Genomic DNA, 19,437 nt, shown 5'->3' on the forward strand with positions numbered 1-19,437 from the left:
TCACTTAACATAGTTTTAAATTTACACATGTTGTGTGAATCAGTAGTTTATTCCCTTTTTATGGAATTTTAATGAATATGTCATAATTTATCTTCCTAGTGATAGACATTTGAGTAGTTTCTAGGTTTTGGCTAGTATCAATAAACCAAAAGCTATGAGGTTTGACTGCCGTGAGCTTTTTTTTTTTTTTTTACAAGCTTTTCGTGTTCATAGTTTTCCTTTCTCTTTAATTCTACCTAAGAGTGGAATTTTTGAGTCATAGGAAAGATAACATGTTTAACCTTTTAAGAAACTTTCCACTGTGGTTGTGCCATACCCTGACCAGCACTGTATGAGAAGTTTCCATTGTTCTACACATATATCAACATTTGGGTGTGAAATGGTATATCATTGGGGTTTTTATTTGCATTTCCCAGTGACAGATGATGTAGAGTATCTTTTCATGTATTTACGGGCCATTTATACATCGTCCTTTCTGAAGTGCCCCAGTCTTTTGCCCTAAAAAAACTTTTTATTTTGTGCTGTGGTCTGAATACAAGTCTTTTGTCAGATGCATGAGCTGCAGATATTTTCTCCCATTCTGTGACTTTTCTGCTCATTTTTAAAAATGCTGTCTTTTGTTGAGGAGGAATTTCTTTTATTTATTTATTTATTTTTTTTTTTTGAGACAGAGTCTCGCTCTGTCACCCAGGCTGGAGTGCAGTGGTGCAACTTCACCTCACTGAAATCTCTGCCTCCCAGATTCAGGCGATTCTCAGGCCTCAGCCTCTTTTACTTAACGTAATGTTTTTGAGTTTCATCCATTGTAGTTTTAGTAGAGACGGGGTTTTGCTGTGTTGGCCAGGATGGTCTCAAACTCTTGACCTCAAGTGATCCGCCCACCCTGGCCTCCCAAAGTGCTGAGATTACTGCCATGAGCCACCACATGTGGCTGAAGTTTTAATTTTTATGATGTGCAGTTTATCAGTTTTTTAATGGTTTGTGCCTTTTATGTCCTGTCCAGAAATTTTTGCTTACCTGAAACTTATAAATATATGCTCCTATGTTTTTTTCCTAGAAGCTTTAGGATGGTAGGTTTTATGTTAAGGTCCATCAGCCATCTTGAATTGATTTTTGTATGTGGAGTAAGACAGAGGTTGAGATTTACTTTATCTATCTAGATATCCAGCTGTTTCAATGAAAAGACTTTCCTTTCTTCATTGAATTACCTTGAAAGCTTGACCAAACAGCATTGACTGTATATGTGTAGTTCTGCTTTTTGGACTTGATTCTGTTCCATTGGTCTGTGTTTACCCTTAGGCCCGTACCACACTGTTTTAATTGTCGTAGCTTTATATAGTACTTATTTTGAAATTCATAGATGTTAAGTATTTTGATGTTGTTCTTTTTTTTTTTTTTTTTTTTTTGAGACGGAGTCTCACTGTGTCGCCTAGGCTGGAGTGCAGTGGCGCGATCTCAGCTCACTGCAACCTCCACCTCCCAGGTTCGAGCGATTCTCCTGCCTCAGCCTCCCGAGTACCTGGGATTACAGGTGCACACCACCATACCCAGCTAATTTTTATATTTTTAGTAGAGACAGGTTTCACGATGTTGGCCAGGCTGGTCTCAGTCTCCTGACCTCGTGATCCACCCACCTTGGCCTCCCAAAATGCTGGGATTACAAGCGTGAGCCACTGCGCCCAGCCCAGAATATTCTTACTAGTCTACTAATATCTGTAAGACTTATATTGATGTCGCCTTTTTCATTACTGATACAGTAATTTGTGGCTTCTCATTTTTCTTGATCATGTTAGCTAAAGGTTTATGCAGTTGATTTTTGCAAAGAACTGACTTTTTTCTCAATTGTTTGCCCATTTCATTTATTTCTGCTCTTTGTTATTTCCTTCCTAATACTTTGGTTTTACTTTACTTTTTCTAGCTTCTTGAAGTAGATCCTAGATCATTGGTGTGTATGTATCTATTTTAGTGTTTTTAAAAGTAATGTTGATTGAGATATAAGTTACATTCTTTTACTTAACGTAATGTTTTTGAGTTTCACCCATGTTGTTAATCAGTATTCTGTATTTTGTATTGTTGAATTGTATTCTATTGTATGGACGCATACCAGTTTATTTACCCGTTGACCAGTGGACGAACCTTTGTGTTGTTTCCACTTTGGGGCTATTATACATGAAGCTGTTAAAATTTTTTATGTGCAGGTCTTCATTTGCCAGTATGTTTTTATTTCTTCTGGGTAAATACAAAGCAGTTAAATTACTGGGCCATGTGGTAAGAGTAAGTTTAACTTTATAAAACCACCGCCATTAAGTTTTCCAAAGTTTTGCATTCCTACTAGCAATGAATGAGAATTCCAGTTTCTCTATATTCTTACTGACAACTGGTATTGTCATTCTTTTCAATTTTAGCCATTCTAGTAGGTATATATCTCATTATAACTTTAACTTGCATTTCCCTAATGACTAGTGATGGTGATCTTATCATTTGCTTGTTTGCTACCTGTATATCTTCTTTGTTCAAGTGAGTCTTCAAATATTTTGCCCATTTAAAAATATGATTGATTGTCTTTTATTTTTTATTTTTTGAGATAGAGTTTTGCCTTTTTTTTTTTTTTTTTTGAGGTCAAGTTTCACTCTTGTTGCCCAGGCTGGAGTGCAATGGTGCAATCTCGGCTCACCGCAACCTCCGCTTCCTGGTTCAAGCGATTCTCCTGCCTCAGCCTCCCAAGTAGCTGGGATTACAGGCATGTGCCACCACGCCCGGCTAATTTTGTATTTTTAGTAAAGACAAGGTTTCTCCATGTTGGTCAGGCTGGTCTCGAACTCCTGACCTCAGGTGATCTGCCCGCCTCAGCCTCCCAAAGTGCTGGGATTACAGGCGTGAGCCACCACACCCAGCCTGATTGTCTTATTAAGTTGTAAGCTTTCCTTATATACCTTGATATGAATCCTTTATCAGATATGTGGTGTTTTTTTTTAAAGGGTTTTTATTGATATTACATATAGAAAAAATTCTGATTAGAGACTTCTACAGCTAGATTATAAATCTTATATAGTTATGTGTGTATTCCTCTAAATTTGTTTCAGAATATATCAGTCATTAGGCCGGGCCCAGTGGCTCATGCCTGTAATGCCAGCATTTTGGGAGGCCAAGGCGGGTGGATCATGAGGTCAGGAGATCGAGACCATCCTTGCTAACATGGTGAAACCCCGTCTCTCCTAAAAGTACAAAACAAAATTAGCAGGGTGTGGTGGCGGGCGCCTGTAGTCCCAGCTACTTGGGAGGCTGAGGCAGGAGAATGGCGTGAACCCAGGAGGTGGAGCTTGCAGTGTGCCGAGATTGCGCCACTGCACTCCAGCCTGGGCGACAGAGCAAGACTCCGTCTCAACAAAAAACAAAAAACAAAACAAAACAAAAAAGAATGTATCAGTCATTAGATTATTGATGTTTTCTTATTTTGAAATTTTAATTTATAAAAACTCCCTGATACATGATAATAAACGTGCAGCTTACATTGAGTCATAAACGTTTAGTGGATTTATTTGCTATCCCCATCATGTTTGGTTTGTTTCAGAGCTTTGGAGCTTTAGGAGGAGAAGTTTCTGAATGTGTAATAAAGGAATATCCCAATTTTTTTTTTTTTTTTTTGAGACAGAGTTTTGCTCTGTTGCCCAGGCTGGAGTGCAGTGACACAAATCTCAGCTCACTGCAACCTCTGCCTCCCAGGTTCAAGCGATTCTCCTGCCTCAGGCTACCAAGTAGCTGGGATTACAGGCATGCGCCACCACACCCAGATAATTTTTTTTTTTTCCTCTTTCTGTTTTGTTTTTGTTTTTGTTTTTGTTTTAATTATACTTTAAGTTTTAGGGTACATGTGCACATTGTGCAGGTTAGTTACATATGTATACATGTGCCATGCTGGTGCGCTGCACCCACTAACTCATCATCTAGCATTAGGTATATCTCCCAATTTTTATATTTTTAGTAAAGACGAGGTTTCACTATGTTGGCCAGGCTGGTCTCGACCTCCTGACCTCTGGTGATCTTCCTGCCTCGGCCTCCCAAAGTGCTGGGATTACAGGCATGAGCCGCTGCACCTGGCCGGAATATTCCAATTTTTGAGCAAAGAATTACAGTTGGTAAACCTGAAACCTGAGATGGTTCCATGCATGAACATTTTGTTTTTTTGTTTTTTTGAGACGGAATCTCACTCCATCACCCAGGCTGGAGTGCAGTGGCGCGATCTTGACTCACTGCAATCTCCGCCTCCTGGGTTCAAGCGATTCTCCTGTCTCAGCCTCCTGAGTAGCTGGGATTACAGGTGTGCACCACCACGCCTGGCTAATTTTTATTTTATTTATTTATTTTTTTTATTTTTAGTAGAGACAGGGTTTCCCCATGTTGGCCAGGCTGGTCTCGAACTCCTGACCTCAAGTGATCCATCTGCCTTGGCCTCCCAAAGTGCTGGGATTAAAGGCATGAGCCACCATGCCCGGCTGACGCATGAATGTTTTGGAACAACATTTAAATAGTTATGGACATGTAAGGAAGATAAGGAAATGGAGCAGAGCACCAGAGTAGACCTATTACCTTGACCAACATCCTGACCATGTAGTAGTTTACATGTAGTTTATTGTTAATATGTAAAGGTTTCAGACACATAAAATTTATACTCTCATCCCTGTTTCTTTCTAGCTTGATTTTTAATTTTAGTATGGAGATAAACATTATAAGGGGGATAAATTTGAAGAAGCACAGTTTTTTTTTTTGGTGGAATCTTTTCTTTCAAATAATCTTAAAAATACAGATGCCAATTTTCTTGCGATGTAGAATAGAAATGTGATGTTAGCTCTTAAAATGTCAGTTATCTGCCAAAGCATTCTCTTAACTTTCATCAGGAAAACATTGACTGCTCTCTCCTTGCTCCTTCCAAGAATTTGGCTGGTGTGATGCTTCTTTGCTTACTGTGCCTACTGAGTAGGCCACCCCATCATCTGATACAGAGACACCTGATCTGTTCTCACATTGGTCTGTCCCCTGCCTTAAATGTAACTCCAAGTCAGATTCTCTCGTGGGATGCTCAGGCTTCCTGAAGTGAGTATGACATGAATTGTTTTAAAAACCATTCATTTCCATGGGCAAAAACAGATTCTGGTGGTCTCCAGTAAAAATGTATATAGTGCGTATAAAATCTCCAAAACTGACATAGTATTTAAATCTTAAGTTTTTTGGCATTTAAAAAATTACCACCACTCTTTAAGTTTCCCGTTCCACCTGATGGTGTCTTTTATGTGGCACAGGCTTTTTATCTTTTTTAAGAATCATGTTTAGTGGGCTATAATTTACATACAGTAAGTTTGCCATTCTTAGATAGACAGCTCTCTGCCTTTTGACAGGCCTACGCACTCACATAACCACCACTGCAATCTTGAGGAAGTTTCCATCACCTCAAAAAGTTGCCTCGATCTGCTTTGTAGATCCCCTCTCCATCCCCAGCCCCTGGCAATCATCGACCTGATTTCTTTCCCTGTAGTTTTCCCTTTACTAGGATATTATTTAAATGAACCCAAACAATATGCAACATTTTGTATGTGGCTTCTCCCACTTAGTGTAATGCTTTTGACATTCATCCATGTTGTTGTGTTTATTGTTATTTCAGTTGTATGGGTGTACCACAGTTTGATTATCCATTCATCAAATGGTAGACATTTGAGTTGCTCTCAGTTTTCTTAAATTATAAGAAACTACAAAATTGTTCTTTCCAAGTAGCTGCACTATTTTGCATTCCCACCAGCACTGTATGAGAATTCTAGTTGCTCTGTATTTTCACCAGCATTTAGTTGAAAAAACTTTACTCATGGTAGTGGTTACATGGTGGTATTTAATTGTGGTATTAATTTGCATTTTCTTAATGACTGTCTCTTTTTTGGAGATGCGTCTGCTCAACTGTTGTGCTCATTTAAAAAAAAATAAGGTTTTTTTTTCTTATTGTGGGATTTTAAGAGTTCTTTACCATAGATACGTCTTTTATCAGATGTGTTTTATAAATGTTTTTTCCTAGTCTATGGCTCGTCTTTATTTCCTTAAAGACCTTTTAAAGACCATGTATTTTAAATTCATTTGGGGATATCCAACTTATGATTGTTTTCTTTGTGGTAATGTGGTTGGCAGAATAATGGCCCTAAAAGATGTCTGTGTCTTAATTCCTGGAACCTGTTGAATGTGTTATGTTTCATGGCAAAAGGGAATTAGAGTTGCAGATAAATTAAGATTGCTAGTCATCTGATCTTAAGGGAGGGAGATTGTCCTGGAGTTTCTAGGTGGACCCAGTGTAATTACAGGGATCCTTAAAGTGGAAAGGGAGAGAGAAGCAGTTAGAGCCAGAGAAGGTGATGTGACAATGGAAGCAGGAAGCAGGTGAGGCACTGGCAGAAAGACTCACCTGCCACTGCTCCCTCTGGAGATGGAGGAAGGGCCCATGAGCCCTGGATGCTGGCAGCTTCTGACCGCTGATAGTGCAAAGAGACAGCCTTTTCTGGGGCATCCAGAAAGGAGTGCCCTCTTGCCAACTTCATGATCTTAGCCTAGTGAGACCCATTTTGGTCTTCTGGCCTCCAGAAGATAATAAATTTGTATTGTTCAAGGCACAGAGTTTGTGGAAATTTATTATAGCAGCAATGCAAAACTAGTAAGAATAGTTTGTGTTTGTTGTGTCCTAAGAAATCTTTGTCTAAGAAATACAAAGATTTTCTCTTATTTTTAAAATTATTTTATTTTTTTGAGACAGGGTCTCGCTCTGTTGCCCCAGCTGGAATGCAGTGTCACGATCATGGCTCACTGTAACCTCCACCTCCTGGGCTCAAGTTATCCTTCCGCCTCAGCCTCCTGAGGTAGCTGGGACCACAGGAACATGCTACCACACCTGGCTGATTTTTGTATTTTTTGTAGAGACAGGGTTTCACCATGTTGCACAAGCTAGTCTTGACTCTTGGGCTCAAGTGATCAGCCAACTTTGGCCTCCCAAAGTACTGGGATTACAGGCAGGAGCCACCATGCCCGGCCTTATTTTTTTAAAAGCAGAAGTTTTATAGCTCTAGGTTTTATGGTTAGGTCTGTGATCCAGTTTGAGTTAATTTTCACATATTATACAAGAGAAGAGTGTAGTTTTCTGGTTTTTTTTTTCTATCTCTTTTTTGCATTGTCCATTTCTAGCACCATTTGTTGAACAGGGTTTTCCCATTGACTTACCTTGGCACCTTTGTTGACATTACATGACTATATGTGTGTGGGTGTGCTTCTGGACTCTGTTCCATTCCATTGTTCTGCACGTCTACACTTGTACAAATACTACTGCTTGATTATTATGGCTTTATAGTAAGTCTTGAAATCCCATCATGTGACCTCTGACTCCTTCAACATTTTTCTACTTTTTGGTAGAAAATTATTTTGGTGATTTTTGTTCCTTTACTTTTCCACATACACTTTAGAATCAGCCTGTGAAATTCGGCAAAAAACTTGCTGAGATTTTGATTAGGACTGCATTGACTCTAATGTAAATCAATTTGGGGAGAATTGCTGTGTTTGTTTATTTGCATTGCTATAAAGAAATACCTGAGGCCAGGTAATTTGTGAAGAAGAGGCTAATTTTGGCTTATGGTTCTGCAGGCTGTGTAGGAAGCACGGTGCTGGCATCTGCCTCTAGTGAGGGCATCAGGAAGCTTATAATCCTAGCGGAAGGCAAAGTGGAGCCGGCATATCACATGGTGAGAGAGGGAGCAAAAGAGATGCAGACTCTTTTAAACAACCAACTCTTGCATGAACTAACAGTAAAAACTCACTAATTACCATGGCACTAAGCCATTCATAAGGGATCTTCTCCATCACCCAGACACCTCCCACCAGACCCCACCTCAAACAAACAATGGGCATCACATTTCAACATGAGATTTGGAGGGGACACACGTCCAAACCATATCAATTGTCATCTTAATTATCACATCTTCTAATCCATGAACATGGTTTATATCTCCATTTCAGTTTTCTGTTGCTAGTACATAAAAATACAGCTGATTTTTGTATAGTGACCTTGTGTCCTACAACCTTGATAAACCTGCTTTTCATTGTAGTAGTTGTATTGTGGATTCTGTAGACTTTCCTATGTAAACTATCATGCCATCTATGCATAAAGACAATTTTATCTCTCCCTTTCAGTCTGTATCCTTCTGTTTCCTCTTCTTGCTTTACTTTGTTGTCTAAGACTTCCAGTACAGTCATATATAGAAGTGGTAGGAGGGACATCCTTGGCTTGTTCCTTTTTTCTTTTTTCTTTTTTTTTTTTTTTTTGAGAGTTTCCTTCTTGTTTCCCAGGCTGGAGTACAATGGCATGATCTCAGCTCACCACAACCTCCACCTCCCAGGTTCAAGCAATTCTCTTGCCTCAGCCTCCCAAGTAGCTGGGATTATAGGCATGCACCACCACACCCGGCTAATTTTTGTATTTTTAGTAGAGATGAGGTTTCACCATGTTGGTCAGGCTGGTCTCGAACTCCCAACCTCAGGTGATCCGCCTGCCTCTGCCTCCCAAAGTGCTGGGATTACAGGCGTGAGCCACTGCACCCAGCTGGCTTGTTTCTAATCTTAGGGGGTTGCTGTCAGTCTTTCATCATTACGTGTATGGTTTGCTGTAGGGTTTTTGTCTGTTTTTTCGAGACAGAGTCTTGCTCTATCGCCAAGGCTGGAGTGCAGTGGTGTGATCTCAGCTCACTGCATTCTCTGCCTCCCGGGTTCAGGCGATTCATGTGCCTCAGCTTCCTAATTAGCTGGGACTACAGGTGCCCACCACCATGCCCAGCTAATTTTTATATTTTTAGTAGATATGGCATTTCACCATATTGGCCAGGCTGGTCTCGAACTCCTGACCTCAGGTAATCTGCCCACCTTGGTCTCCCAAAGTGCTGGGATTACAGGCGTGAGCCACTGAGTCCGGCCTTGCTATAGGGTTTTTGCAGATGCCCTTTATCAGGTTGAGAAGTTCTTTTCTACTTCTTGTTTGCATATATACATATATATGTATATGTATGTATGTATTTTTTTTTTAATCATGAATGGATGCTTTTTTCCTCCCAAACCAAAAATGGCCAATAATGAATGGATGCTTAATTTGCCAAATGCTTTTTCTGCATCTACTGAGGTGATCATAATGGTTTTTCTGTTTTGGTCTGTTGATAAGGTAAATTACATTAATAGATTATTTTTCAAATGTTGAACCAAAGCTGCATTTGTGAGATAAACCATAATTCATCATGTATTATGTGTTAATGGTTTCATATATTGCTCAGTTTGATATATTAGTATTTTGTTAAGAATTTTTACAAATCCTTACCTGTCTGTGAGGGATATTTGTAGTTTTTTTTGTAATGAGTTGCCTAATTTTGGTGTCAAGGTAATGCATTCTGGTCTTTGAATGCATTTGGGGAGTGTCCTATTCTCTGGAAGAGTTTGTGTAAAATTAGTATTAATTAGTTAATTGATTTTTTTTTAGACAAGGTCTTACTCTCTTGCCCAGGCTGAAGCACAGTGGCACGATCACGCCTCACTGCAGCCTCAACATCCTGGGCTCAAGCAGTCCTCCCGCCTCAGGCTCCCAGGTAACTGGGACTACAGATGCCCATCGTCTGTAGTGGGCAGATGCACTACCATGTCCAGCTAATTATTTTTTGTAGAGACGGGGGTCTCACTATGTTGCCCAGGCTGGTCTCGAACCCTTGGGCTCAAGTGATCCTCCCAAAGTGCTGAGATTACAGGTGTGAGCCACTGTGCCTGGCCTATTAATTCTTTATTCAGTGGTAGAATTCACCTGTGAAGCCACCTGTCTCTGGAATTTTGTTTTGTTGTGGTAAGATTTTAAGTATAAACACAATTTCTAATAGATATAGGGCTGCCTAGGTTATTCTTGAGTGGGCTTCACTAATTTGTGTCCTTCAAGGGATTTGCTCATATCATCTGCATTTTTCAATTTATTGATATAATGTTCTTAGTATCATCTTATCCTATCCTTTTAAGTTCTGTAGAGTTTGTGTTGTATCTCCTCTTTAATTACTGATGTTGTAATTTTTGTCTTTTTCTCTTGATCAGGTTAATGAGAAGATTGTCAATTTTTTGACCTTTGCAAAGAACCTACTTTTAGGTTCATTGATTTTGCCCTGTTGTTTTTTGAATTTTGTTCATGTCTTTGTTATTTCCCTCCTCTTTATTTCCAGTTTAATTTGCTCTTCTTTTTCTGATGTTTAAGATGGAAGCTTAGACAAACAGTAGTATGTTTCCATTTCCCAGCTCAACCTTTATATTATAGTTCTCATTTGTTTTACTTTTACATATGTTGTAACCCAGAATATATTATCTGTGCTTTACAGTCTGTTTTTAAAATATATGTCTCCACATACTTAACATTTATGACCCTCATTCCCTTTTGTAGATCTAGATTTCTCCTCTCTGTTATTTTCCTTCTGCCTAAAGAACATCCTTGAAGATTTTTTTGTAGTGCAGATTTGCTTGTGATGAATTCTGTCAAGTGTTGCTGAAGTTTGAATTCTTAAGTTGACAGTTTCAGCATTTTAAGGATATCATTCTACTGCCTTCTGTATTTTTTCCTTACAAGTTAGTGGTGATTCTTTGTTCCACTTTATGCGATGTGCATTTTATTCTCTGGCTGCTTTTAAGATTTTCTCCTTATCACTGCTTTCAGCAGTTTGATTATAATGTGCTTTGAAGTGGTTTTTTCTTTTTATCACACTTGGGGTTTATTAAGCTTTTTGGATCTGTGAGTTATAGTTTTCATCCAATTTAGAAATAATTTGGCCAACATTTCTTTAAATATTTTTCTGTGATCGTTTTCTGGCACTCTAGTTTATATATCTATATCATATATGTCTTACATATAGATTACTTCTACGTGTAAATTATACCTCCATTGGGTCGCAGGTCTTCGTTCACTTTTCTTTCTGTGCCTCATTTTGGACAGTTTGTTTTTCTGCAATGTCTCATTTGCTGTTAAGCGCATCCAGTGAATTTTTCATTTCAGATACTGTATTTTCTAGCTGTTGACGTTCCATTTGGTGCTTTCCCCGTAACCGTCCATTTCTTTCCTCATTATGTTCATGTTTTCCTCTAAGTCTCAGCATCTCTATACAATAGCTGTCATTGTGCCTTTGTCTGCAGCCCTGCATCCCAGAGTCCTGGCCACTCCCTGGTGCCCATGTCTGTGCTGCCTCCTGCCTCCGCTCACACTCACTTCCTCTTCTCCACCATCTGTCTCTGTCTCTTCTCTTTCAACAGTCTGATCTGAGATGGATCAGAGCCTTTTAAGTTTAAAGTTTGCATAGGATGTCACTTCCAGGGTGCTGTAAATATTGACATTTAAAAATGAAAGTCTTATATTACTCTTTGAAATGTTTCCAGTGTAGAATATAAATACCACAGATATGCCCACCACCACAGATACTCCCATCATCACAGTTTTTTGTTTTTTTGTTTTTTTGTTTATTTTGATGTGAATAAGCTCTACTTCACTGGCTGGAAAACCTTTGCTAGTTTTTCTCCTGGCACTCATGTTTTCATTCCACTTGTTCCCTTGAATTGCACCCTAATGTAAACATTTTTATGCTTTTAAGTATTTTATTTGTCATTTTTTTATACTCTTCTGTAACTAGATATACAGGTAGATAGATAGATTGAGCTTTATTTATTTGGTTTTTTTTTCGATACAGAGTCTTGCTTTATTGCCCAGGCTGGAGTGCAGTGGCACAATCTTGGCTCACTGCAACCTCTGCCTCCCGGGTTCAAGTAGTTCTTCTGCCTCAGCCTCCCAAGTAGCTGGGAATACAAGTACCCGCCACTATGCCCGACTGATTTTTGTATTCTTAGTATAGACGGGTTTCACCATGTTGGCCAGGCTGGTCTCGAACTCTTGACCTTGTGATCCGCCTGCCTTGGCCTCCCAAAGTGCTGGGATTACAGGCGTGAGCCACCGTGCCCGGCCCAGAGCTCACTATTTGAAAAGTTCCTATAACTGTAAGACTCTTAGGTGTTAAACATTTGCTTTTGAACGATTGTTGCAGTTGTTATTTGTACAGGCTCCTGCTTCTGGTTTTTCCTCCTTTGTCTCTGGCTGCCTGTCCTCTGCCTCATCTTCCAGCCCCTCAAAGTGGGGGAACCTCAAGGCTTCACCCTGTCTTTGGACCTGTATAGTCAGTTCCCTGGTGTCCTGGCTATCTTGTGACATCAGAATGCTTTACCCTGAATGGCTCCCAAACTGCCCTCTCTATCCAACCTCTCCCAGTACTCAAGAATGATCTGTCAGCTGCCCACTCAACACCTCCACTGGGATGCCAACTTGAAATCTCAAGTTAATGTGTCTGATTTGAACTTCACACAGTTGTGCCATCTGCAGTCCTTTTATCTTCATGGTAGCAACTCTGCCATTTCCATTGCAAGGTCAAAGATCTTCTTTGACTCCTTCTCTCCTCCCTCCGTGCCTAATCTGTCAGCAAATTCTGGTGTTGCTGCCTTCAAAATCTGTCTACTTCACCTGCTCCCACCCTGATCCTAACCATTACCATCTCTCACCTGGATGATTACAACAGATAACCACAACTGGGCTCCTGCTCTGCGATCCATTTATATGCTCCTGTGCCTCCCCTACTCAGACCCCTTTCATGGCCGCATCTCACTCTGAATCAGAGCCAGCTACATGCAGGGGCCTGCAGGGCCCAACACCCTTTGCATCTGCTCCCTCTTTGGGCTCAGGTCCTCTTCCTCCACCTCACTCTCTGACCACATTGGCTTCTGCAGGGTTCACGGAACATACTAGGCCTCTTACCGTACCCACCCTGTTTCATCTGCCTGGAGTGTCCTTCACCCCAGTACCCTCCTCCTTCAATTCATCATTTTCTCTGACCTCCCTGCTTAAAACTGCAGCCTCTTCCCACTTTCTACTCCTTCTATTATATAATTTATGTATTTTCTCTCCCTTCCACTAGAATATACGCTTCATAAGGGCGGGAATTATCTCTTGTTGATGTGTCACCAGGGCCTAGAACTGTGTGTGGCACATGGTGGGCACTCATCAACTATTTGTGTAATGAATAATGAATTTAAGCAAATTTTGATGATAATTAAACATTTCACTTGCAGTGTATCTCTGAAAATGATGGGGTTACTATTAGCATTTTCCCTGATTAAATTGATGCATTTGTGAATGAATATTATTTTATGCTAGAAACAAAGGTCTGATACCAGTTTTCTTCCATTATTTTGTCTTTATAGATATAAACACTCAGGACTGCTTGTTCACATAAATAAGTAGATTAGATGGGCATGGAAAGTGTCTTGTTATGGCTGTGCCATTTTGTCTTTGGACTTCAAAGTTAAAGGCCAAAGATTGTACAAAGTATTTTCTTTTTTTTGAGACAGGGTCTCACTCTGTTGCCCAGGCTGGAGTGAAGTGGTGCAGTCATGGCTCACTGCAGCCTCAAATTTCCAGGCTCAAGCAATCCTCCCACCTCAGCCTCCTAAGTAGCTGGGACTACAGGCACACACCACCACACCTGGCAATTTTTTTTTTTTTTTTTTCTGTGGAGATGGGGTTTTGCCATGTTGCTCAGGCTGGTCTCAAACTCTTGAACTCAAGCAAGCCACCTGCCTTGGCCCCACAAAGTGCTGGGATTACAGGCACGAGTCACCTTGCCTGTCGTCATATAAAGTATTTTCATGATTTTTCCACTGACTGTTAGATTAGATTCCTTCTTCCATTTTGTTGAAAGTAGAGAATTGGAAGCCACCTGACTTGGAGAAGGCTTTGTCACTCAGTCATTGGAGTCCTTTGCTTCAGTTTCTGAAGTGTCCACCAGAATCACTTTACCAATCCCTGTCAGCTGCAGGGACATCAAATGCTTTTCTACCCTGAATAGTTACATCTGTCACTCCTCACTTCAGAGCAGCTTTGCAGGCTTTTGCTGGAAATGCTGAGGAAGAGTTGAGAGAAACAGCAGTATTATTAATTTCCACATGCTAATATGTATACCAATGTAGTATTTTTAAAAATCTTATTACATTCTTCCTATTTTCACCCAAAGCTTGGAGCTCCAGATTCAGCCCATTCAGTTTATCAAAACTATCTGCCATATACATTAATTGTCAAACTAGTCTGCGAAATCACTCTTTCCCTCAGGCAAAAGTCTTACTTCATTTTCATTCTAACAATATGCCTCTGACAGCCATCTCACTCTGAGCTCCTGGAGGTTCCTAGTTAGATAGGTGAGACGTGGAACTGGTGCCCTAGGTGGAGGAAGGCACCATGGCTGTTGTTTCTTGGCATCCTCTTTTGTTGGCTCTCAAAGGGGTAATGCCTGCTTTTACAGTGGTCTAGGGTTTGAAGTTACTAAATGAAGTTTTCATCATCCCTGCCATCAGACTCCACAGTGTCTGAACCCAAGACACTCCAGCGTGAACCAGGACATACTATTTATAATACCATGCTTTGTCCTTTACAGAAATGGGTATAGGCCAGGTGTGGTGGCTCATGCCTGTAATCCCAGCACTTTGGGGAGGCCAAGATGGGCAGATCGCTTGTGGTCAGGAGTTTGAGACCAGCGTGGGCAGCATGGTGAGACCCCATCTCTACAAAAAAACTAGCTGGGCGTGGTGGCACACACCTGTAGTCCCAGCTACTTGGGTGGTTGAGGTGGGAGGATCACCTGAGCCCTGGAGTTCGAGGCTGCAGTGAGCTGTGCACCCCAGCCTGAGCAATTGAATGAGACTCTGTCTCAAAAATAAATAAATAATTTAAAAAAAGAAAGAAAGAAATGGTTATAGATAGGGAAAAGCGAATGGAGACACAGTGGTGGGGGAAAAAGCAAATATAGGGAAAAGCACAACCCTACCTTAATGTGTCGCTTTGAGGTGGCTTTACCCTTATCAGTGCGTCACGGGTACTTTTGTCCCCTGGGAATGTCCACTCCTTGAGACAGTTCATTCTAGTACAGGGGGAGATGGGAGGTAGGCCTTTTTTTGCAGGGGGGAAGAAGGTTGTAGAAGAGGAGGTGGGACAGAGAGCTGGCATGACTCCTTGGCCTCAAGGGCGTTGTCCACAGATTTGTTACCAGACAGAGCATATGTGGATGTCGGCCATCTAGAATCTAGAAATGGATTCTGTCACAGTGATTTGAGGCGACATACCCCTTCAAAAGGTTTGTTTTCCCAGGGCTCTCGGTAATCTTGAAGACACTGGAGTATGGTTCCTCAAAGGTAGTGAGGAGTGGGCTCTAAAGCACAAGGAAAGAGGAGGATAATTCCTCTAATTGTAACAGTGGGGCAGGGGCCAGGCTGGCTGATTGAGAGCTGAGTGCCAGGAACTTCCCTCAGTTGCATTTCATTATTGTATTTTAAAACCTAGTTGTCTGAGAAATGTGTTTTCAGTCCCAGCAGCCATGGACGATAGTAACATAGAATTGGCCTGTCCTGGACTTGTGTACTGTGCTGTGGGCCACGGTGCACGTGTAGTTACAGACATTCTCAATGAGTCCACTACCTGCCGGCTGTGGAAGTGAGCAGGCCTTCCTTGAACCGTCTCCGCCTTGGGCCAGGTACTCCCAGAGCCAGGTGTAGAAGGTGAATCTGAACTCTTAAGCTGGGGACATCGTGAAGGAAACCTTGTAAATAAGAGATGCTCTTGGGTTTCATCTCAGTCCAGTCTGCTCCCAAGCTGCTTTTTAAGTTGGACTGTGGAATTTCTGGGCAAATTAACAATAATAAATAAGCAGATTTGGATCAGGTCTAAAAACTGTGCAACTTCAAAGAGGGAAAAAGAAGTACTGATGCAGGAGCAGATCATTTTCCTGAGAGAGATTTGTTTCATGAAAGAGAAAAAAATAAAACAGTCTGTTCTCACTTTTTAATGAGTTAAGAGAAGATATAATCCTAATAATTATTAAGGAAGAACTTGACTGGAGCAGAGGGAATAAGGTGAAGTGATAATCATATTAGACCAAATAACATCTTTGAAAGTGGTAGGCAATAGAGTTGAAACTCTGTAATCCATGAACTGGAAAGCCAACTAGAGAAAAAATATAGCATGGCAGGATGGAATGGCCAGAGCACAGCCACGACCAGGGTGTCTCGCATGGGTAGTAATCATTCCTAAGGGAAAGGAAAAGGACAGCGCGGGTGAAGCAGCATCATCCAAAAGCTGTGTAACAGTTCACAGAGTGGACTGCGTGGTTTGTAATGTTAAGCCTGGCATTGGATTTCTGTGTTGTGCCACAGTGGTCAATATCACAATACATGTAAGACACCAACATCCACACATGCTTTGATGAACAAGGATATGTACTCTGAGTATTTTATATCTAAGATGCCACTTATTTGAAAAGTTCTTATATCTGGAGTTAAAAATTTCCCCAAACAAGTATCTTTGCCAGAGACTTTATACTGCCAGTCAGAAATCCAAGTGTATTTATAAAAACTAGAAATACGCATCTCAAGTAAGTGGAGGAAGGCTAGAATAATAAACGCCGTTGGGGTGATTAAGCAACCAGTTAGGAAAAAAAATACGACCTTAGTCTGCAATCAGTTGATGAATGAATGAGCTGATTAAATGTAATCTATGAAACCATTAAATTACTAGAAGAAAATATAAGAGGATATTGATATAATCTTGGTTGGGAAAGGCCTTTTCTAAGCATGACCCCAAAGACAGAAACCCTAAAGAAAGATTAGCTTCTTAAAAATGGAAAACTAGTGTTCAGAAACCACAAAATCAAAATGCAAACAGCAGACTAAGAAAAATTGCTTGTAGCCTATTTAAAAAGCAAAGGCTAATTAAGAGATTTTTGTATTGGTAATTAAAAGATGAATACCTCAGTAATAAAAGGAGAGTTTCAGAACATTGATCATTCAGTTCTTAAAAGAAAAACCTAAATGACCAATAATCATATAAATTTTAGCCTCACTAGTATTCATCAGAGAATGTAAAATAAAAGAGAACTGGTATTTCTCTTCTATCAAATTGGCAAAGAAAAAAAATGTTAGGGTCCAGGTAATGCCAGTTTTAACTACTAGATGACATAAATGTTGATACGGTCTCAACTCTTAAGGAATGGAATTTTTTTTTAATGATGACTTGTTTGAGGCTAACAACTTGCTGTTATGCATTCATTTCATATAAAAATTTGAGGAAAATGATAAGATTTAATATTACTGGTTTGTTCATGATGATAAATATTTTAGGGGAAGTTGAATTTTAATTTTAAAATGGTGCTAATTCTGTCAAATTTGAAAATTGAGAATAATTTATTTCCAGTGGCTTTTCCAAGCTCATTCATGCTGAAGTGCCCTCTGCTGGCACCAGCAGCCACTTAGTGACCCCAGGCTGGGTACCACCTGAGGAGAGGGACTGCCCTGTGGGGTCTACAGGGTGTGGGGGGCGGGGTAAAGAGGGAGTGGGGGTACACAGCATGTGGATGGCAATGTGGTGATGCTCAGACCCTGGGCTTCCTCCTTCGTGCCTACCAGCCCGCGTTTCTAGAAGGCCTGCTCTGTTCTGAAGGCTGCATCAAGCAATCACTGAGGCAGTGATTCTGTCAGGTTCACTGCTGTGTCCCCAAGGCCTAGAACCATGCCCAGCAGAGGTTGGGTGCTCAGTAAGGGTTTGTTGGTGACTGTTAGTCTTGTGTCCTCCAATTGACATTCTCTTGGGGAGACCAGCAGTAAGCAGATAAAGAAGTCACTTAAGGCATGAGATGTGTTCGGAGGGTTGTAGGTTCCAGGAACATGGTAGGATGCAAGGAGGCCAGGCAGATGGCCCCAGAAGGATGTCCCTTCCCTTCCCTGAGGGTGTGCTCAGCCCCCTGAGAAGACAGACAGGCAGGTGACAGCATGGAGCCCATTTCTGTTCAGGCAGGGGCAGGACTTCCACCAGTGTGTGTGCATTTGGTGATGGAACCGAGGAACTCTGCAGGCCTGTTTTTAAACTCCTGATTCTCTGTATTTGCCATATCCTAACAGAGTGTTTGCTTTTTGTTTCCTTTTTTTTTTAATTTAAAGGATTTTTTTGTTTTGTTTTGTGTTTTTTGATAGATGAGGGTTACTACCAGGGTGGAAAATTTCAGTTTGAAACTGAAGTTCCCGATGCGTACAACATGGTGGTGAGTAGCCTGCGTTGAGCCTGTTGTTTTACTTCTCGGGCGGGGCTGCCTGTGGCTGTGGCCCGCCACTGGCACAGGGCCCTAGCACTCCCCTCTGCGTGTGTCCATGTGTGACTGAGTACTCACTTCAGTATTTTTGTGATGAATGTCACTCATCAGCAGTATTTAGAGTGTTAGTAGAGAATTCCGTTTATTCAGCAAATACTTATGAGTACTATGTGCCAGGCAGCCTGCCTGTGTATTTTCTATAACTCTTATCTGTTACAGTCTGGCACTGAAGAAAAAAAGCATTTAATAAAATGACTGTAGTTTTGTTCATGATATAACACCAAAATTCCAGAAGTCTATAAAATGTGTATTTTAGAATTTCAGAGAACAGTGACTTGTAGTTTAAACTATAAGTAATTTATACCTATAGTTTCATGTTAATCCCTCAAAGATCCTTTTAGACAATAATTATACCAAATACCATTACATTATGTCTTTGCTTTGGTGGAACTTACAGACCAATTAGGAGAGATAAAGTGTAGAAAGTTGATAAAGCGATAAAAATGGTAAGTAGAGGACAGTAGTGATACTCATCAATGATAGGAAACTAGTTTTTGAGAATTCAGAGAAGGGAAAGTAATCATCACTTTGGAAAGTGGTCAGGGCTAGTTAAGCTTTTAGGGGGAAATCTAACTGGAGTCACCCCGATGTGGCCCAGAACCAGGGGAGGGTATTCTAGGTGACATGGAAACATGATGAACTGTGGTGACAGGTGTGGACATGAGAACTTGCAACCTGCAGAAGGCAGATAGGGCCAGGTCAACTCGAGTGAAGAATTGGAGTTGGGGAAGAATAGAGGAAAAAATGGGAAAACTCAGATGTGGGGGTTTGGTTGGGCATTTTCGATTTGGCAGTGACAAACCACTGGAGAGTCTGAATAATTCCACACCCCCAAGTTGGGGTATTAGAGGAGGTGTGGCTGCGCTTCAGGGACGGGTGTGATGTGTCTCGGCCCAAATTGCCAGGGGTTGACGTACAGGCAGTTCAGCATGCTTGTCTTACTGGCGTGCACCATGGATATGTATTCCTACTCACGTGTTCTAACTAACCCTCTTGGCCCGTCCAGTAGGAAAGCACAAGCTGATGGTGCTGCCAGAGAAAAGGAAGCCTCACTCCCATCATGAGGATGTGGGCATTGGGGACACTGTTCCTGTGACTTCGCTTGTGGGAAGTGTGCTCCCACTGCCTGACG

General features: G+C 41.0%; 1 protein-coding gene and 1 long non-coding RNA gene across 9 annotated transcripts in view; both read left to right on the top strand.

Annotated features, from left to right (window-relative positions):
- UBE2F-SCLY (UBE2F-SCLY readthrough (NMD candidate)) overlaps positions 1-19,437 on the top strand; it is a 132,469-nt gene that overhangs the window by 31,492 nt on the left and 81,540 nt on the right. The window lies entirely within an intron of this gene.
- UBE2F (ubiquitin conjugating enzyme E2 F (putative)) overlaps positions 1-19,437 on the top strand; it is a 75,769-nt gene that overhangs the window by 31,423 nt on the left and 24,909 nt on the right. For 7 of the 8 annotated variants that reach the window (NR_103500.2, NR_103499.2, NM_080678.3 and 4 more), the window contains one exon: positions 18,130-18,197. The exons of the other annotated variant lie outside the window; for it this stretch is intronic. Coding sequence is in view for 5 of the 7 variants with exons in the window: in NM_080678.3 (NP_542409.1) it covers positions 18,130-18,197 (68 nt within the window). In the remaining 2 variants the exon portion in view is untranslated. The remainder of the gene's footprint in view (positions 1-18,129; positions 18,198-19,437) is intronic. 8 annotated transcript variants of the gene reach the window in all.

Source organism: Homo sapiens, chromosome 2 (genome assembly GCF_000001405.40).
Source record: "Homo sapiens chromosome 2, GRCh38.p14 Primary Assembly".
In the NCBI taxonomy this organism is placed as follows: domain Eukaryota; kingdom Metazoa; phylum Chordata; class Mammalia; order Primates; family Hominidae; genus Homo; species Homo sapiens.